At 44.1% G+C, this 21,691-nt stretch overlaps 1 protein-coding gene across 3 annotated transcripts in view, besides 1 other annotated feature; it reads left to right on the forward strand.

Annotated features, from left to right (window-relative positions):
* The window catches only part of VANGL1 (VANGL planar cell polarity protein 1), a 56,252-nt gene extending 35,300 nt beyond the window's left edge, over window positions 1-20,952 (forward strand). For all 3 annotated transcript variants that reach the window (NM_138959.3, NM_001172411.2, NM_001172412.2), the window contains exons 5-8: window positions 5,095-5,228; window positions 6,675-6,807; window positions 8,024-8,258; window positions 13,850-20,952. In NM_138959.3, coding sequence (NP_620409.1) covers window positions 5,095-5,228; window positions 6,675-6,807; window positions 8,024-8,258; window positions 13,850-14,110 — 763 coding nt within the window. In that variant the 3' untranslated portion in view covers window positions 14,111-20,952. The remainder of the gene's footprint in view (window positions 1-5,094; window positions 5,229-6,674; window positions 6,808-8,023; window positions 8,259-13,849) is intronic.
* Window positions 18,943-19,442: an enhancer, noted in NCBI's record as "H3K4me1 hESC enhancer chr1:116238833-116239332 (GRCh37/hg19 assembly coordinates)". NCBI's record gives its function as "activates a minimal SCP1, AML or CMV promoter by ChIP-STARR-seq in naive H9 embryonic stem cells {active_cell/tissue: H9 hESC(naive)}" and the evidence as "EXISTENCE:reporter gene assay evidence [ECO:0000049][PMID:30033119]".

The following is a 21,691-nucleotide window of genomic DNA, read 5'->3' on the forward strand; positions in this document are numbered from 1 at the left end:
CCTCTTCTCTGTTGCCATGGCAGTCATGTAACAGTTGTCAACAACACTGGAAGTGCTTTCGTGGTTGATTAGACACAAAAGACCACAGCATTTCTCATTCCACCCTCTTTGTCCTGCAAAGAAAATAGGCCAGTAGGCAATGTGGTCAGCAGTGGGTTTTAAATTAAAATGTAGCCATCAGATTCCCTTAGACCTTTGTGTAGACCCATTGCTGGCCCGTCCTTCCCAGGAGTTCAAGTTTGGACCAGCCTAGACTGAAGCCTATTGAGGAGGTTTTTATGCATAGGTCTCAAGCGAATTTCTGTCACAACTAGGCGTACCTTCATGTGCTGTTTTCCACAAATCTATGTGGTCTGGGAGAGAGTATTTCTTTCCCTGGGTTGTGACTAGGCAGGTATGTTGGCATGTGGCACCAGTTGAGCACAGAGTCCTCTATCTTGGGAAAATGCTCCTTGTCATAGGTTTCTGAGGGGGCTGAGTCCACAGTCTATACTTCAGGCTCCCCCTGATGGTAATACAGGGGTCCTGTTCAGTCAGGCTACTGCCTTTTCTCTCTGAATTTAATGGTGATAACAGAGGGGGCAAGTTTCTAACCAACTTGATTTTTCTTGCCTCCCACATTTCCCCAAGATTGTCTGGTCTAGAGATTGGGGTTTGTAGAAGGATTTGCTTTTGTTCATCTCTGGGGCCCTTTTTGCCTCTGAAATTCCATGATTTTATGAAATACATATTCAAGACTGATCTTAGGCCTGTGGGAATTCTAAGATTGCATGAACAGAGAAGTTAAGCCTGCAAGTATTATATACCCATGGAGGAACCAAAGGACGTGTCCCCTGTGTGTCAGGGATTTGCATGGGCAAGCTTGTTGAAGGGGCAAGACCAGCTTCCTTGACTCCCTCGAAGATATCACAAGTCATGTGTCATCACTGTTGATGCTGCAAGTTTAGGGACAGATCAGTGGGGACTGGAGGATTCGAAAAGCCTTCCTGAAAGAAGCCAGTCCTGTGTTGGCTTTGTGGTTCCTTCCATATTTGGAGGGTGGAGAGGAATCAAGGCAAGAGGAATGCTGGGCACGGACAGTGGCGGAGGGAATGGCTGCTCCCTGCATCCTGGCCTCCCGGGGCTATGACTGAGGCCATGGCATAGTAATTAGGAATGACTGATAGCAGTAGTGAGGGAGAATGTGGAAAAAATGTAAACAAAACAGCCTCACCTATTCACACTTGCTGCAGCTTGGGACAGAGTGGGGATAGATGGCCTCCACCTCCTGATGGAACCCAGTGTCTTCACTGCCTTATGTACGTGGCACAGCTCACTGTTAAGATGCGTAATCATCATCTGGAGTAATCAAGAAGACTTAAATCATATATCACATAGCTTACTCTCTTCAAAACGATGAAGAAAGGCCAGGCACAGTGGCTCACACCTGTAGTTCCAGAACTTTGGGAGGCCAAGGTAGGCGGATCACTTGAGCTCAGGAGTTCAAGACCAGCCTGGGCAACATGGTGAGACCCCGTCCTTACTAAAAATACAAAATTTAGCTGGGCGTGGTGGCACGTGCTGTAGTCCCAGCTATTTGGGAGCCTGAGGCAGGAGAATCCCTTGAACCTGGAGGTGGAGGTTGCAGTGAGCCGAGATTGCGCCACTGCACTCCAGCCTGGGTGACAGCGGGAGACTGTCTCAAAAAAAAAAAAAAAGAAGAAAGGCATATTGGATTTTATCCCAAAATGTCACAACCATTTTATTTAAGTTGTGCACTTGAGTTTTGTGTTTATTTAGTTACTTGGAAATTCTCATTCCCTAATACTGCCAGGTATGCTGGGCATCAAACAGACCATCCTCTGTAGGTGAGAGCATGCACACTCTTGGAGGCGTTTATCAACTTCACCCTGAGATCTCTTCAGCTCCAGCATTGGCTTCTCAGCCTGTGGGGCTGGCCAAGCCCACGGCAGGCTCTGAGTCATCCTGTTGCTTCTCTGAGAGGGCAGAGCCAGAGGGAGTGCAGGACGCCTGCACTTTCCCCTTGTTTGGTATTTTTGAGCAAAGACTCTCACTCTTTGGGAGGACTGTGAGAGCCATGCCTGTGACACCCAGGGCTGGCATCCCACAGTACCCGCCCCCACCCTGGGCACTTCCTGGGACGCCAGGACTTTGCTCTGAGGGGCTGTCAGGTGGGCTGTGGACTTGGCTTATTTGGAGAGCTGGCCCATTTGGAGAGCATCTGCTGAGGCCCCGTGCTGGAAGGCGGTGGGCCGGGAGCCCTGCTGGAGACAGAAGCCACTGCTCTGGGCAGTGCATCACACTCACAGGGTGGAGGGTGAGAGACACAGCCAGGAGGCTCCGACCCACCCATCCCCTCACAGGCCCCAGCTGAATTAATGGGATTCCCTTGACCCCTCCTTGCAGCCTCGCTGAACAGAAAAGCAAAACCCAGCAACCACAAGATAGTTTTGAGTTGAAAATGGTTCTGAGAACTTCTGATGATTGCTTTTTAATTTTTAAATTTAGATCAGGGTAATGCTTTTCTGTTGGAATCCAGGGGCCTAGAGATGTTTCTTTATCAGTGGAGGAGGGGGGATGAAGTGAGTTTGAACCCCAGTGGGTCTGTGTGTATAAACTGAGTCTTACAGCCATGTGGAGGGAGCCTCAGAAAGCCCAGGCACTCCAGAAAAGGCATGCACAGGGGTGGGAGCTGAGCTAGGCACACACCAGGGAGTGTGTGTGTGTGTGTGTGTGTGTGTGTGTGTGTGTGTATGTGAGAGAGAGAGAGAGAGAGATCAGGGAGAGGGTTGCAATGAATCTCTGGATGGGGTAGGAATAAAGAAACACTTGCCCCTCTCTGGAGAATGCCATGGACAGGGGGCAAGGACGGAGTTGGAGCCACATTGACTTGGAGATTGCCAGGTGAGACCTTCAGGGCAAGCAGACTAGACTTCTGCAGGAAGAGCTCTCGTGACACACAAACCTCCACGGAAGTCCGCCTCCTCAGGAAGGCTGCACCCTGTCCCAGGCAGCCAGAAGCTCTTCTCCGTGGTTACTCAGCCCCACGTGTTCCAGCATGAGAACATACTCACTGTCATGGGGTTCATGCTCCAGGTACCAGCTAAGGTCTATCTTCATATTCCCAGGGCTTAGCAGACACAGGCACTCAAATATGGAATGACGAGTGAACAACTGAGTAACTGAATGGTCAGAATTTTCAAAATGCAGATTTGCTGTTAGGAGTCTTAGGTTTACTTCCATTATGCAAAGTTGGTCTCACCGGATTTCCCCTGATAGTGTTCCCCAGCCTCACATGACTGTACATTATCTAGGACGATATTAAGTACCAACTGAATGCGGGCACTGTTGGGGATATAACTCAGAAAGTTTTACCATGATTCTGCTCTTAAGCAGGTTAGCTGACTGACTTCCATATTCAATTCTGTTCAAGTCTTGAAGCAGAGCTCCAAGGGGAGCCAAATGGGTGGGTAGACAGAATTTCCAGTGGATAGTTTAGGAGCTCCCTTGTCTTGGTGTGAAGTGAGGATCCCTGAGCCACCTGGAGAGTGTTGGAACACAGTGTGGTCATCCAGGAATCAAAGGGAGCCCCATCCTGGTGCTCTGGCTACTGCAAATAATCCTTGTAAGCCGATCTGCTTAGCAGAGTACTAGAAAGGAAAATCCAAAGGGCAAGATAAAAATATATCTGTGGTATTTAACATGGTGGTGGTTGGAGATGTCAGCACGTACGCTGTTACACAGAGTCCGCATGTTACCGGGAAGCCCAACTTGGAGGTTTGTAAATCATATCAGAGTTCCAGCTCTCCTGTTTATTAAATGCATACTGTTGTGCAGGTCATAGATTTTTGAGCCTCAGTTTTCTTACCTCGAATGATTGTGAGGGTTAAATGAGAATCAGGTATGTGCAAACCCTTGCTGTATCATTGCAAGGTGTTCTTCAAAGTGGCAAGTGTTCTGCACCATAGACCAAGGGCATATTCTTTTGCTGTCTATACTCATTTCCAATTATAAGTACCCTCCCACATCCTCTCTCCCACTTGTTGATGGTACCTGTTCTTTGTTCCCCTGCTGCTCTCTGAGGACCAAGCAGGGGATAGTTGGAGACCTAGAATATCGGAACATAGATAGTCACCTTCATACCCCTCTGCCAAAGGCCAGAGATAGCACTCCAAGGGGCAGGGGGACCCAGAAAGATCAAGTGGTCTCAGCGGAGGCTCTCTTTTTTTTGTTGTTTTTTTTGTTTTTTTTTTTGAGACTGAATTTCACTCTTGTTGCCCAGGCTGGAGTGCAGTGGTGCAGTCTCGGCTCACTGCAACCTCCGCCTCCTGGGTTCAAGTGATTCTCCCGTTTCAGCCTCCCGAGTAGCTGGGATTACAGGTGCATGCCACTACACCCCGGTAATTTTTGTATTTTTAGTAGAGACGGGGTTTCATCATATTGGTTAGGCTGGTCTCAAACTCCTGACCTCAGGTGATCTGCCCACCTCAGCCTCCCAAAGTGCTGGGATTACAGGCGTGAGCCACCGCGCGTGGCCAAGGCCCTCTTAAGTACGCTCTGCCCTGGATGGCTGCAGTTGTTCTGGTCTGTATAAAACCTAAGTTCCAGGATTCCTTATACCCAGGGATACCAAGGCCTAGGGGACAAAACCCTGAATGAGGACCTGAGAAACCTGAATCTATACTTTGTTCTTTCACTCATTAGCTCTGCAACCATTAGTAAGTCTCTTGCCCTTTTGGGGGCATCCTCAGTTTCTTCTTTTGTAAACCGAGGAAAAATAGAAAAAGTTCTTGTGTGCCTAAAGCTAAATGTAAGTTATGAGTTACAACTTCTTCCTCTTTCAACAAAGGGCTAGATGGGATGTGGCTAATCACAGGTCCAGGAGAGGGCACAGAAGTCACCTGGCCATGGGGCTTAGTTTCAGCTTTAAGTTCTCATCCTGGAGACCAGAAGTGTGGTGGAACCCAGTGGACTTCTGTATGAGATTATCTTTGATGTTGTGTTCCTTTACCTGACTCCAAAAGAGGATTTTTCGTTTAGGACCTGCTTCTTCAGTGAAAAAGCTTTGCATTAATTTTGTTCTTTTTTTCTCAGTATCCAGCGAGCAGCATTGGTGGTCCTAGAAAATTACTACAAAGATTTCACCATCTATAACCCAAACCTCCTAACAGCCTCCAAATTCCGAGCAGCCAAGCATATGGCCGGGCTGAAAGTCTACAATGTAGATGGTATGTGCCTTGAAAGGGTGTCCGTGGTGCTCACAGGGGCACAGTTGGGTGACTATTTAAGATTCATGGTACGTTTGGTTCGACTTCTTCTCTGGGCCTACCTTTATGGTACATTCTTGTTTCAGAACAATTTCTCTTTTTTATGTAGGCAGACACATGTTTAGAGGAATGTTGATTTACCATCTACCTGTGTTGGAAGCCTGTTCATTTTGGGATTTTATGATTGAAAACAGCAGCGGTGTGTGTTTCCTGCCTTCTGCCAGGATCATCTTATATTGGAAGCTGTTAGGAAAGGGTTGCTTTTCAAAATTGGTGCACATTACCCACAAACTCAGAAAGCTACCTAAATCATTAAGACTAGAAATCTCAGTAGTCCAGGCATCTGGTGAGATACCTGCGGGCACTTCTTACTCGTGGCTAGGAGCCGGAGTTGAGTGGGTGGCAGGAGGCTGGAGGCCAGGCTGGGTAAGTCCAAGCTATGTTTCAGGGTATCACATGGTTAAGTGCAAGAAACAGGATGCGGTGTCATTTCTTCCTGGGTATGTTGGGTGAGGGCAAGAACTTTGCAAACCCTAGGAGAGGATTATATTTTCAACAAGTCAAGTGATTTATATACAGTGTCAGTTTTTGTTGGCAATATCCTTTCAGTTATTTGTTTGTTCATTTTTTTTTGGCTATATGAGGTGTGAGCTCCCTCACGAAGCCTGAAGGATTGATAAATTTCACCTGTGATCTAAAAACTTAGGAAAGATTCCCACTAGTGAAACCAAGTCACCAGCCAAGTAGATCATCCGTAAGAAAGCCTGAAATCTGCCTATGTTTCTGAAAAGTTAAGGTGGTCAGTGGTCAGGGGACAGGACAGGACTTCTGAGTCTGTATTCATTAACGGGTCACGTTGCACACCCTCAAGCATTGGTATTTCCTAGAAAAGTTGTGGCTGCCATGACATTCTAGCATAGCTTGCTTTCCATTGTAGACTCAGTGTCTCATGTCCTTTGACTTTCTTTTTTGTCTGTCTGTCTGTCTGTCCTTGGTCTCCCCATCCCTCTCATTCTGTCTCATTGTCTTGCTGAAATTTGATGTCCCAGCCGCCCTTATGGCCAAACTGAAACTTTATGTAACAGATGGTAACATCTTCAGCACACTCTATGTGTTGTTTTTGGCCAACATTTTAATTGCCACCGTTCTTCATGCCCTTCTGAGTTCTTTTTCCATTTCCACTGACCAGATTGGGGTTTAGGGAGATTCCTCTGCTCCCTTGCTTTGGACATAGTGAATGTGGAGCCGGGGCACAGTTCACCCTCCTGGGAAGTGACCTTTAGGATTTGTGTGTGTGTGTTCCATAGGGGGTGGGTAGACAACACTGACAGATTGGGTACTAGTTTTCTGCTCTGTTTCCCACCCTCGTGGTATTAACACTATTCTTTCACTGTCCTTTCCCCAAAGGCCCCAGTAACAATGCCACTGGCCAGTCCCGGGCCATGATTGCTGCAGCTGCTCGGCGCAGGGACTCAAGCCACAACGAGTTGTATTATGAAGAGGCCGAACATGAACGGCGAGTAAAGAAGCGGAAAGCAAGGTATACTGCCCTCCTGATGCCAGTACCCTCTTACAGACTTTTAAATTTTTATTTTATTTATTTATTTATTTATTTATTTAGAGACAGAATCTCACTCTGTTGCCCAGGCTGGAGTGCAGTGGCAAGATCTTGGCTCACTGTCACCTCTGCCTCCCAGGTTCCAGTGATTCTCATGCCTCAGCCTCCCAAATAGCTGCGATCACAGGCGCCCACCACCACGCCCGGCTAATATTTGGTATTTTTAGTAGAGATGGGGTTTCGCTATGTTGGCCAGACTGGTCTCAAACTCCTGACCTCGAGTGATGTGCCTGTCTCAGCCTCCCAAAGTACTGTGATTACAGGCATGAGCCACCATGCCCGGCCTCTTGTAGACTTTCAATCTTTCCTTTCTTACCACTAGAATGAGGTTTCTGTTTAAAAACATGACCTGCTGGGACACCTTTGGAGTGCACCTTGCTCCAGTGTTTCTCAAACTGAAGCCTGTATGAATATCACTGGGAGGGCTGTTCAAATACAGGCAGCAGGTTCTGGGCCCTGCTTGCAGAGACCCTACCCAATAGGTGTGGAGTTGGGCCCAAGAAATGGCATTTCTAACAGATTCCTGCGTGATGCTGATGCTCCTGGCCCCCAGCCCATACTTGAGTGGGTCTGTTCTGCACCCCTGGACCCTTGCTGGTGTTCACCGTCAGGTCATATTCACTGAAGGGGACAGAGGTGCATTCCATCATGTGTGCTGTGCCTCTTCCTGTTTCCCAGGGGCTGCTGGTGTGGGTGGCTGGACCAGGGAGCACGCAGCTCTGCTTCTTTGTAGGGCTGCTTCTGCACCACCAGCCACCTCTCTCTGTACAGAGCCTTTTATAGCCAGTCGGAGGGGCCTCAGAACTCTTTTCATCTAACCATTGCAGAGATGAAAAAAGGACTAGTGCATTTCCCAAGCTCATTGGTGGCAGAATTCAGAACAGAGTTCATCTCCCAGTCCTGGGGCTCCTTTCCCCCAACCCCTGGGGCCCCTGTTCCACATGTTATTTTTGCTGTTGCCTTTCTTTCTCCCTTCCTCCCTCTCCACTCTCTGAGGGACAGCTAAGGATGCAAGCAGCGTGATTGGGCCTTGGGTATGTTGGCAGGTTGGGCCGCAGCAGGGTAGACAAGCGTCATTCTGTTCTCACACCCTGTGGCAGGCACCATCCTGATTACTTAGTGTTGCATCACCTTCTAGGCTGGTGGTTGCAGTGGAAGAGGCCTTCATCCACATTCAGCGTCTCCAGGCTGAGGAGCAGCAGAAAGCCCCAGGGGAGGTGATGGACCCTAGGGAGGCCGCCCAGGCCATTTTCCCCTCCATGGCCAGGGCTCTCCAGAAGTACCTGCGCATCACCCGGCAGCAGAACTACCACAGCATGGAGAGCATCCTGCAGCACCTGGCCTTCTGCATCACCAACGGCATGACCCCCAAGGTGCGCTGCTCCGGGCGGGCTCTGCCACCGTCATCCTGGCTTGTCACTGAGCTTGGCCAGTTGAATTATAGCGTGTTACTAGAAGTGATAAAATCGAAAGGCATCTCTAAAACTCAAGTAATAAGAATTAGTGATTCTCACTTATTTTATGTTATGTTAGTACAATTGTTTTTTTAAATGTGCCTTTCGAAGGCCTCTGGATTCTAACAGAGGAGAGAATTTCGCTTGGAGGACAGTATGGAATAGTGATTGGAGACAGTATGGAATAGTGATTAGGGGTGCATTGTGGACTCTGGAGCTGAACTGATTCATTCTAACCTGGCTCCTCCACCAACTAGATGCATAACCTTGGGCAGATGGCAATAGCTCTGTGCCTCAGTTTCCTAACCTGTTAATTGGTTAGGATAATACTAATAACTATCTCATTTGTATGTTTTGGGAACTGAAAGAGCAGGATACACATATAGTGCAACATATAAACAGAGGTCCTTATAAAAAACAGCTACCAAATGTTACACGTGTACCACATGCCAAGCTCATCTACTCTCTACCATGCGATTTACATGCCTTGTTGCCATATTCAATGTAATTCTTACACAACAACCCTGTCAGAGAGATATTATTATTATCCTCATTGATACAACAGCAAACAAGTGTAGAGGAACTGAAACAGTTAATTCATGTGAAGTGCTTGAAACAGTACCTGTCATATGATGAGGATGGACTAAATAGCTCTATTTATTGGTAAAAAATAGAATGGCGTGAACCCAGGAGGCAGAGCTTGCAGTGAGCCAAGATCGCACCACTGCACTCCAGCCTGGGCGACAGAGCGAGACTCCGTCCAAAAAAAAAAAAAAAAAAAATGCCATCAGGCATTTTGGGTGTTACAGAATTAGTTTTACTGAGTGGTCTTTTAGATTATGATATTTAGGACACTTTAAGAAGTGTTACAAGAAACAGCCATGTATCTAATAGAGAGTTGTGGCCAAGGAGGCAAACTAGAGTAAAGATACAGCAAATGACTTCTCTACAGAGAAGTGGGTTCAAATCCTGGCTCCACCACTTAATTGTTTTGTGACTGTGCACAAATTACTCTACCCTCTATTAGATATATGGCTGTTTCTTGTAATATCCCTAAAAGTGTGCTAAATACTGTAATCTAAAAGACCGTTTGGTAAAACTGACTCTGTAACACCCAAAATGCCTGACAAAGCCATAGCATTATTTTTACCAATAATAATAATAGCAATTTAGTCTGGCCTCTTCATATGACAGGTACTGTTTTAAGCACATCACGTGAATTAACTCTTTCAGTTCCTCTACACTTGTTTACTGTTGTATCAATGAGGATAATAATAATATCTCTCTGACAGGGTTGTTGTGTAAGAATTACATTGAATATGGCAACAAGGCATGTAAATCGCATGGTAGAGAGTAGATGAGCTTGGCATGTGGTACATGTGTAACATTTGGTAGCTGTTTTTTTATAAGGACTTCTGTTTATATGTTGCACTATATGTGTATCCTGCTGGTTACATTGTCAACCAATAACTACCCTTAGGAAAGCAATGTAGAAATAGTAAGAAACCAAAAAGTTTTCTGTATTGATTCACTAATCTCTCTCCTAGGAAAACTATTTCCTACAATCATATATACACATGAATATACACAAAGGTGGTGTTTTGCAAAACAATCTGTAATCCTCCACAATGGAAATAATTTAAAACATAACAGTGGCTTATAAATTATGGTGTATCACCTGTTGAATCATGAAAGAATCTGTTAGAATAGTAAGTTACAAGAAATAGAATGCAGAAACATGTGAATACTGTGGTTGCAAATGAGGAAAATATGTCTGCAGGTATAAAATGATGGCTTGTACCATGTAGAACCAAAACAGTTGTTTTTCTTTTTACAAGATTTTAGAAAGTTTCCTGGTTGCTTTTTGTTTCATTTAAAAATTTTATACTTTTCTGAATTAAAAATAATAGCTGTTTTTGGTATAGAAATCCAAACATTAAAGAAAAGTATCATGCGGAAAATGAAGTTTTCAGCCCCTGCCCCAAAACAGTTTTTACCGATAAGGAGTTGGTATATATTCTTTCAAATATATGTAGATGTTTTTTAAGCTGAAATGGGAAAACAAAACAGAAATTGGGTCATTGCTCTCTCTTTCTCTGTGTGTGTGTGTGTGTGTGTGTGTGTGTGTGTGTGTGTGTGTGTAAACCACAGGCACACGCCACCATGCCTGGCAATTTTTGTATTTTTGTATTTTTTTGGTAGAGACAGGGTTTCGCCATGTTGGCCAGGCTGGTCTAGAACTCCTCAGCTCAAGTAATCTACCTGCCTCAGCCTTGCAAAGTGCTAGTATTACAGGCCACCACCCCGGCCTATATATATCATTCATTAGGTAGATAGATAGATAGATAGATAGATAGATAGATAGATAGATAGATAGATAGACACATAGATAGATACATAGATAGATACATAGATATATACATAGATAGATAGATAGCCTATATATTATCATTCATAGATAGAGATTTACATACTACATCTCTCTATACAATGTATATTATCTTTCTCTATATATATGTAGAGAGATATAGATATATAAAACTTTGCTTTTTTTTCTTAAAGTCATCCGTTGGCTGTCTTTCCAAGTCAATACATACAGATCTTACTCATACAGATATAACTACAGATATAACTCATTTCTGGTAATAGCTACGTCTTATTCTACCAAATACCATGATTTATTCAACTGATTGTCTGTTGATGCACATTTGGATTAAGAGTTTTCATTAGTGAAAGCCAGGGGCTTGTTGTATTTGTTAATCAGATTTTATTGGCACAGAGCCATGCCCTGTTATTTATGTATCACCTATGGCTGCTTTCACTTTGCACCAACAGAGCTGAGTAGTTGTGACAGAATATGGCTTGAAACGCTGAAAATATTTACATCTATGGAAAAGTTTGCCAACCCCTGGTTTAAACAGCATTGTGGTGAATACTTTTTTACATATGTATTTGTACAAGTATTTCTGAAGCCTAAGTTTCAAGTAGAGGAAAAGCCAGGTCAGAGTTGTAGATCCTACCAAATTGCCCTCCTAGGGGGTGTACTTTTGCATGCTTTGCCTCTAACATCTGAGATTTTTTATTTCCCACATACTCGGGAGCATTGGATGTTATTTTTTAAAATCATTGCCTATCTAATAGGAGGAAGTTAGTTTTTAATTCTTCTAATTTATATTTCTTCTTTTTTTTTTTTTTCTTTGAGACGGAGTCTCACTCTGTCACCCAGGATGGAGTGCAGTGGCACGATCTCGGCTCACTGCAAACTCCACCTCCCGGGTTCACACCATTCTCCTGCCTCAGCCTCCCGAGTAACTGGGACTACAGGCGCCCACCACCACGCCCAGCTAATTTTTTTTGTATTTTTAGTAGAGACGGGGTTTCACCGTGTTAGCCAGGATGGTCTCAATCTCCTGACCTCGTGATCTGCCTGCTTCAACCTCCCAAAGTTCTGGGATTACAGGCATGAGCCACTGCGCCCAGCCTATATTTCTTTAGTTAATAATGTGATAGAAAAATTTTTATATGTTAATTTTCCAATAATGTTTATTCTATAAAATTATTGTTTTAGTTTCATTTCTCTAATTGTTATTTTCTTTTTCTTATGATTCATAGGAGCTGTATTTATATTAGAAGTGTGGGAGTATGCAAGGCCTTACTTTTCTGCCTTACAATAGATGCTCCACAGATGAAAAAAATATATACCTGGCAGTAGCAGCAGGGTGTGAATAAAAGAGGATACCGGGCCGGGCGCGGTGGCTCACACCTGTAATCCCAGCACTTTGAGAGGCTGAGGCAGGTCAATCACCTGAGGTCAGGAGTTCGAGACCAGCTTGGCCCACATGGTGAAACTCCGTCTCTACTAAAAATACAAAAAAAAAATTAGCCAGGCGTGGTGGCGCATGCCTGTAATCCCAGCTACTCAGGAGACTGAGGCAGGAGAATTGCTTGAAACGGGAGGCGGAGGTTGCAGTGAGCTGAGATCGTGCCATTGCACTCCAGCCTGGGTAACAAGAGTGAAACTCTGCCTCAAAAAAAAAAAAGAGGATACTAGTTAAAAACTGTTCTTCGCCAGGTGCAGTGGCTCACGCCTGTAATCTCAACACTTTGGGAGGCCAGGCAGGCAGATCACTAATGGCCAGGAGTTCAAGACCAGCCTGGCCAACATGGTGAAACCCCATCTCTACTAAAAACACAAAAATTAGCCAGGTGTGGTGACACATGCCTCTAATCCCAGCTACTTAGGAGGCTGAGGCAAGAGAATCACTTGAACCCGGGAGGCGGAGCTTGCAGTGAGCCGAGATTCTGCCACGGCACTCCAGCCTGGGCAACAGAGTGAGACTCTATCTCAACAAAACAAAATCTGTTCTTGACTCTGTCTGGGACCTGATTGATATATCCCAGTATGTTTCTATCTGTATTACTGGCTCATTTCATTCTTCCTTCCCCTCATGGCTAAATCAGTGTATTTATTTGATTTAATTCGCATGCTGTCAAACTCCTAGTATGTGCTAGGCACGTTGGAAATTCAAATTAAAGAAACAAAACATACTTCCTGCCCTTCAAGAGAGTGAAGTGTAGTGTGGGGAGCAGACATGCAAGTCAGCAATCACTTTGAAAGTAAAGGGTCACACGAGAGTCAGTGATTACAGGAGCCTGAAGGAGGACATGTTAATCTGCCTGAGAGGTTCAAGAGAAGAGCCTTAAGAAGATTTGAAGGGCAGGGAAGAATGAGCTGAATGACAGTGTTTAGCTGGAGGAACAGCACATGTATCAGAACTCCATCGAGCCAGGTGCCACTGGAGCAGAGAACTCAGGAGAGGGAAGGGGGCATCAGGCCTGGGCATCCCCTGGACTGGCCATGTGCACACTTAGCCCAACATGGAATAACCATTGCTTGCTTACCATGTCGGGCATTGCTGTGAGTGCTTTTTGAGAGCTAACACTTTCATCCTTACGGCAGCCCTGTGACTTAGGTAGTGTCATTGCGTCCACTAATAGAGAGTGTAAATGACTTGTGCAGAATCACTGCCAGTAAATGGTAGCGCATGCGTTCTTATTCATGCAAGTATATGCAGCTTGTATTTCCTGACTGCTCCTTTGGGCCCGACACAGCCCTGGCCCTGAGAAACTTTTGGTTCAGGAGGAGGAAGACATGGAGAAACACATCAAGTAGGACCATACCCTAAGAATGGAGTGATGCAGCCATGACGGCTTCCAGCCAGACACTGACACCAGCCACCCCATTTTCCCTCCCCTCTGTGGGTACCACTATTCTTGCGCTTGGTGGATAGTAGGTAAAGGGGAGTGAGGAAGTCCAAGAAGTCTTCCCTCCCCAGTAATGACTCAGTTGTGAGGGTCTGATGGGAATTGAGTGTGATGAGCTGGGCTCTGGTCTAAGCTGGTTTATTTGGAAAAAGTTCTTTATAGATGTGAGAGTGGATAGCCGCCTGGCAGTACTGCCCTTAAAACAGGCTGTTTCTTCCCTAATGGCCTTTCTCCTCTGCTTCCAGGCCTTCCTAGAACGGTACCTCAGTGCGGGCCCCACCCTGCAATATGACAAGGACCGCTGGCTCTCTACACAGTGGAGGCTTGTCAGTGATGAGGCTGTGACTAATGGATTACGGGATGGAATTGTGTTCGTCCTTAAGTGCTTGGACTTCAGCCTCGTAGTCAATGTGAAGAAAATTCCATTCATCATACTCTCTGAAGAGTTCATAGACCCCAAATCTCACAAATTTGTCCTTCGCTTACAGTCTGAGACATCCGTTTAAAAGTTCTATATTTGTGGCTTTATTAAAAAAAAAAGAAAAATATATAGAGAGATATATATCTATGCCAGAGGGGTGTCTTTTTTAAAAATTCTTCTTCATTGCTGACTGAAACTGGCAGATGATTGACCAGTATCCTTTGACCATCTGCACTTTATTTGGAAGGAAGCAGGGGCTGTCCACCCTGAAAAAGAGTGACTGATGACATCTGACTTTTGTCGATGGGACTTCTCAAGAAGCCATTCCTTGGAGCTTCTGTTACAGCTGTAAACCAAAGTGGAGCTGGTGCTTCTTGGGAGCCTCGCCTTACAACTAATTCCTGCCTTTCGTCCAGTACCAAGTCCCCCGTTGCTTCTGGTCAGCCCACTTGTAGACTTCCAGGGGACACATCTTTATTCTGTTTCAGGAAACCAGTCACGACACGTCCACATATGTATTTGTGTATGTTAATGTCCAGTATCACATCACCCATGAAAGTCGTGGGCAGTTCAGGAGATACCTGCCTTCATCTTTGTTCTTTGTTGCCTTAGGTTCTTCAGAGAAAGATCACAACAAAAAATGTACACTGTCGTTTACAGCTATTAAGTGATTTGATTTTGTTTTTTTCCCAAAGAGAAAACCTACCTGCCCTGTTTCTGATCCCACCCCTCTGCTGGCTTGAAGCAGGTAACCCTTTCCCAGCCCTGCAGCTGCCCACCTGGCCTCCATGCCATCCTGCCCCCACCTGGCTGGCAGCCCTGGCTCTCCATGTGTGCCCTCCGGCTCTGTGTGAAGCCTCAAGTCAGTCCCAGCATTGTTTCCATAGGGAAGTGTGGGGTGCCCAGCAGGTAAAGCACAGGGAGAGAGGGCAGTGGGAATGCCACCTTTAGGCTGCAGCAGGAGCCCCACACTGCCCAGTTTTCCTCCCCACTGTTCTACACCAACCAGGGGAGACTAACACTGTGACTCTGGGATTGGCAGGTGCAACTTGGAGCCACTTAATTTCCTGGGGACGTAAGTTCTTCCCAAGCTTAGAGCAAGCTGCCCTGCCAAAGGAGACCAAACCATGCCAACCACGCTGGCAACTGCTGCTGTCCAGTCCCTGTGTTTTCTGACCACCGTCACTGTGCAACTCATCGCCTCTGCCACTTAGGACCAGGAAAGAGGCTGGTTTTGCTCCCACTCTTAGTTGCTGATAAAGTGGGGAGAAGGAAAATGGACACTCTACAGAGTTTGGGGAAGGGAGAGTAGGGAGCCCATCTTGTCCAGAAAGATTCATCTGTGGTCTGTCTGTTAAACACAGCTGATTTCAGTGGGCTTTCCCCTGGCCCTGGGGGAGCAGACACTGACTGGGTTGTGGGCAGAGGAGCCATCCTGGCGGAGCCCTGCTGCAGGGGAGCTCCTTCAGGAGCCCCATCCGGACCTCTTGCACTGGGCTGCCTTTGCCTCCATTTGCCTTCCTGTATCTGCAACAAACCTTTTAAAAGTGTTCACTCTTGCTTTTTCCAGTATTTCGGTAATCAGCCATCTTGCTGTAGTACAGGATGACATTGTCGAATGCTCTTTGTATGTGTGCACACCCCCTTACTCCCTTACTGCTTCATACACTCCACAAGTGGTACAGTATTTTGTGTCATTGTAAAAATCAAAATTGGCTTTGGATCTTTGTAATACACCTGTACCTGAAAAAGTAAACAACATTCTTCAATTACTAGCCTTCAGCTTGAAAAGACATGCTGGAGAAGAAGGAAGGGGGAACCCATAGGTGTGGCGTGGAGCCAAGATGTACTATTCAACTATGTGTTTCTGTTTATAAAAAACACATACCATGGAACCATGGTGCTTTTGTTCTTAGTTTTTGCCGTTAGATCCCTTCAAACTGGAAGTTCCTTACAATATCTTTCTCAGGAAATATTTTGGGAAATGGGGTAAGAGATGGCAAGTGTGAGACGGGCTGTGTCAGAGGTTGCTACGTCATGGATACAGTGCAGTTCCAAGTGCCATAAGTGTATGTACATATAGTTAATAATGACACTGTTCATCACCATTCTAAAATACTGTTCTTCCAACCCTATCTTCAATGACCAGTCCAGAAGGGGTTAAGCTGGATTCATTTGCTCTGGCATGTGCATTCCCAGCAGGGTGAAGAAAGGTTTAAATTAAAGAATTTATTTTCTCTCTCCCCCTTCCTCTTTCTCCCAGTCTTTGCATAGGAGAATGTTAGACATTCAGAAATTACTGTTTCTGTTTTAAATTGAGTATTGATTTTTTTATATTGACTTTGTATTGAGTTCTTTTTGAAAGAATAACAAAATAAAATGCAGGATCTTTGTAAAGCCTTTGCACTTTCAACCTCTTTATAGCTTGAGTTACTTTTGCAGTGGGAACAATGTAAATGACATTTAAAAGATTTAAGGTTTCAGAAAGCTGCATCCCACAATTGAACACAATGCATTTTTATTTCAATTCTTGGAACTGGTAGGCTATTCTTTTTAAAAGGGGGTAAACTTCGCCCTAAGGCTGGTAGAATGTATGTTCACATTATAGTAGACAGGATTTCATTTGCCTTATATGTTTATAGATTTTTTATAATTTTCATCCTACGTTATTAAAATTAGAGCATTGAGTGTTAAAGAACTTAATGAGGAGTCTATATCTGAGATTGCTCTCTTCCCTGGTGATGTTTTAACTGGTAGATAATTTGTTCTTAAATATGTACTTTTGAAGATAGGACAGTTTTTATAGTCCATGAACTGAATGTTAAAAAGTTCTGTATGCATTCTCAGAGAGGATTTTAAAGCTATATAGTTCATCCATCCTTTGCATTATCAAAATGTTAAGTCAAATCTGTAATACTTTGGCTAAAATTCATAAAGTAAGCCCTAGAGAAAATACTTGACCACCAAATTTTTGCCCAACTATCATCACCTCCCTTCCCCCGCCTCTGTTCTTGCCTTTTGACATCTACATGGAAGACAAGTTCTTTACAGCAAATGGTAAGAGGCAGGTGACCTGGTGTGTTTGCTGTGTTGTAGTTCATTGCCTGGGGCTTGGGACTCCTTTTTTAATGGAGAGACTAGCTGTGCAGGTGTGTGTTGGATAGGGATAAAGTGCTCACCCCTGCCCTCTCTACAGTAGTTGGTGGTAGATTTCTCTCTCATTTTGCCTCATAATCACTTTCGAGTGCATGTATTTACCTAAGGGCTGTAGCTCTGTGGGATGCTACCAGCATATTGGACTGACAGAAATTGATTACCTTGCCACTCCAACCTACGTACTGAGTGAGTGCTCCAGCCACTCAGTGAAACCAACAAAAGTGAGTCCTTGGTTTACCTTCCAATCTGGGTCCTGCTGTGTAAGTATCCCTAAGTGGGGATGCATATTTGTTTGTGCGTTTTTATTTCCATATATGTGAGCATTTCTCTGAGTGTATTACCAGACGGATAGCACATTTATATGTCAGACATCTTAACATCTGTGTTATCTGTAGCAGGTGTGTAGCTCAGCAGATACGTGTCATTGTGTATATAGCTGAGTGTGTGAGGGTGTCTGTGTTTCTGCAGTCCCCTGTGTTTGAGAGATGACTTAATAACCCTGTGTTTTGAGAGGTCGCTCTAAACCAGTGACTTTTCCCTCCCCTGCTTTATTCCTTTCCCTCACTGACACTGGCTTCTCCCGCTAGAGTAAATGGCTTTAGCACAGCACTGTCTTCTGGGGAGCCTGCTGTCCTGCAGGCAAGTCCATTAAACTCTTTCTTGCTTTAGGACTCTGAAAACAGCAAGAAACAAACAAACAAAGGTCAAGCTCTAAGAAAATTACTGCTCAAACTTCACTACCCTGGAAGCCTTACTAGATATTTCTTAAGGTAACTTAAAAATTGGGCTTTATTTTTAAAAAGTGATAGGTTACTTACAGTAGCACAGAAATGTTAGCATATTTATTTAAATAGTCCTGCAGCAGAGACCCTGCGATTGTAAAGTGATTTAAGTATTTCTGGGTAGTGTTTGTGATTTACGGATTTGTTACTGAAAAACAAAAAAATCACTACTGTGAATTTACTACTATGTAACCTTGTGGTCGTATTTCATTATAAATAAAATAAGAATTGCTCTTCTGCCCACCGTTCTTGATTGGTATTCAGTGCAGTAGCGAAATGAGATAGTTTAGACACTGTTGAAATAACTGCATTGAGCTTTAACCAAGTGTATGCTCAGAAAATTCAGTTTTGGATCACATTTTGACAAAACATGTTTTGGTCAAAGAAAGGAAAGGCTACTAACACATTTATCAGGTAATGTATGTCACAGTCCGTGTTCCACCCAGCCTTGTTATCCCCACATTCTTTCAAGATAGGAGTCATCTTGGTTTTTCGGGTGAAAAACGGAAGGTCAGAGAGGAAGGGGCTTGTCCAAGGTCTCATGTCTGGTTAACAGAATTTCAAACTAGATGTTTGATTCTAACCCCTCAGTCCACTGTACCTTGAAGTATGGTCTAAATGATTCGGCACTTCTGGATGTTGAGGAAGGACCTAGAGACACATCCTTGAACTAGAACCTGGGGTGAGAGTTCATTGGGAGGCAGGATCTCTTCTTTCACTTTGGATTTACACCTTGTCCCTTGGAAAGCTTCTCCACTATGCTAGCAAATATCTTAGGATATTTGATGGAAAGAACTTGAGAATCCCTTCTGGAAAACCCAGCCTTTCAGTGTTAACACCTGCTGCAAGACAGGGATGCTGTTGTTCTGGCAGCCCCCCTTTGCTTTTGCCTGGCCCCACCTTCTGCTCCCACTCTGCTGGCTTGGGCAAGATGCGTGCCTTGGGCCTTGGGTGCAGGGAGGCAGGCAGGGGCTTGACCTGGCCTCTCTCTGGTGCCATGGCAACATTATGCCCCAAACTTCTTCCCTGGTTGGAGTGAGAGGGGCTGTCCACAGCCCCATCCTGTGGGGATCTCAAGCCGGAGTCCCTGGCCTGGCCTCCTTGACGTAGGTGTTCTCAGCAAGCAGTTTGCATCCCACCGTCTTTCTCACACTTGCCCCCAAGACTTTTGACAGAGCAGACGTAAAACAGGACTCAGAAAACCATTTTTCTCTGTTCCCATATGTAGTAAGTTTTGATTCAGTTGTGCATAAACCATAGTTTTCTGCCCTGCTGTTTGCTTTCAATGGAAGACAGTAAAGGGAAGATGGTGCTCACATCTCTCCATGTGACATCTCATTAGGAATTAAGATGCGATGGATTAGAAATGTAAAACTTCAGAATAAAATTAAATTTCAGGGCTCTATAAGTCCCGTTTTCCCAGGTCCTGTTCCGTTTCTACGTAGATAACCCAATTTGTTTTGTCTATGAAATAAGCCTCTTTAGTGGGTTGTTTTAGTCTCTCCAACAAAAGAGCAGATTCCTAAAGCCAGGTGCAGCACTGTGAAAAGTTTCTTTCAATATGGCACCAAGACTCTACCATTTATGTCTCTCTCAGCTTACAAACATCAGCGTTTTGTCCTTGTCATAGTGGAAGAAAGACACTTACTTTAAGCTTTGGGGACAAAGGTGACAAACCCCAGGCTTTTATCTTAAAAGTGTCTTTGGCACTTCTTTTGGCACTGAAATGGTATTTGGGAAGCATTATTTGAATGTACAGTTGTTTGGTTTTGTATGTGCTTATCTTTATCTGAGCTTTCACTTGTAGACATGGCCTTTTGTTGTGAAGTTGCTCATCATTTAGGAGTGTTTAATTCTAAAAAGCCTTCAGCCTAAGAAAGCTTCATCTGTGGGGACCAGAGACTTGTTGCTCAGGGAGTTAGTGATGGGACTTGGGCATCTGATCTGCAGGTGACAAGTTTAGTTCAACTGAAGTTGTAGGGAATTTAGACAGTTGCACATCATTGCCGTTCTAGGGGCCTTGTAGAAAGATGAAACAGTTGTTTTTCATTTACCAGCACCTCTCAGTTATAGAGGTAATGGAACATTCGCTTACTTTTCATCATCATTCTTTAAAAAGGGAACATACAAAAATCTAAACTATGGCAATAATTTATTTTTATAATAGTTTACGGTAGGCTTTAATTAAATGGCAAACTCCTCTGGGACCCCTAAGTTATGGCGTGATTAGCCAAATTTGATTTCCAACAGTCATTTATGGCCATAACTATTGCATAGAGTGCAGGATGCCAGCAAAGATGAGGGTGGGGGCAGATACTGGCTCAGTGATTTAACTCACATTATAGATGACCCCTTCCTCAACAGAAATGCTACTGAGAGAACCAGAGAGGCCTGGGCCAGGCAGGTCTTATTTGAGAGGAGATTATTTGATAATTGCTTTGGTTAGAAGGACTTTACATTTCCTGATTTCAAGTCCAGCACCAATTTAGAAAGTTCAGAGATGAAACCACCTGTCTTTACCTGACAGAGTCATAACGGTTTGTGTAAAAATGTGGTCAGGGACCTTTTTTGTTCTTTCTGATTAGTTAATACTGTACATTGTAACCAGGAGGGGCAGTTTTGCCAACCAGCCTCTGCTCATGGTCACCATATGTGTATGACAAGGCCTGAGTGAGTTCCTGCATAAACTGGGTAGTGGGCTCTTTTGACACATTTGCAAGCATGTAAATGAATGAATGACACTACCAGCAACCATCTGTACAGGTCCATTTACTTACATTCATAAGGTTTATGCTATGAAACTTCTTCTCATTGTGATGTCAGTAACAGAGTTAGTGTCTCTGATGGAATAGTGTACCTGTCACCCAAGTTATTTTGTTCCTTTTTGGGTCCTCCAGTATAATCCCCCCCTCATCCCAATTAACTGTAAAATGTTTTACACATCACATTTTTTATACTGTAAACTTGGAAAATAAACTGAAATATCAAATTGTGTCTTGTTTCTTTTCTTCATGTGATTATTTCAATCTAAAAAGTTGCTTACTTTTTCAGGGACATTTTTCACTCTCGCATAATTTTGAGACCTTCAGAATTTCAAGACAACCTGTCATATTTCTATAAAAACCAAGACAATTGTGATGGATTGGGAAAGTAGAATTACCATTGTAACAAAAACTACTAGTTGTCAATCATTTTACAGTGAAGAAAATGTTTTGAATAGATAACTAAAAATGAAATCCTCAGGCTCTAAAACATGGAGATGAAACAGATCTTTTGAGTAAACCAGCAAGTGGAAAGGTATTTGAGTCAAATAAGAAGACAGAAAAGTAACAGACTTTGGGTTGATGTGGGAGGTGAATATTGGATTATTTTCCTGAGTGGCTTGGGAATTCAAGTTAAATTATCAACTGATTTTAGATAGGTCTATTTAAAGGAAATTTGATTATTTGCAAAGAAATATGAAGCCTGTTTTCCGCTAACCTCAGTGGTAGAATTTTGACAGCACACAATCAAATTCTTAGCTATTGCATGGACAGAAATTAGAGAAAGCAATTGACTCAAAGATATTCATTGGTTAGATTATTGATAAGCTGTTTCTTTGGGCCATTAAGCAAAATGTACACAATTTATATCTACATAAGTAAACCCTGCTAATACACTTTGTGCTATCATTTGGATATTTGTTCCCACCAAATCCCCTGTTGAAATTTAATCCCCAGTGCGGCAGT

Source organism: Homo sapiens, chromosome 1 (genome assembly GCF_000001405.40).
Source record: "Homo sapiens chromosome 1, GRCh38.p14 Primary Assembly".
Taxonomy (NCBI): domain Eukaryota; kingdom Metazoa; phylum Chordata; class Mammalia; order Primates; family Hominidae; genus Homo; species Homo sapiens.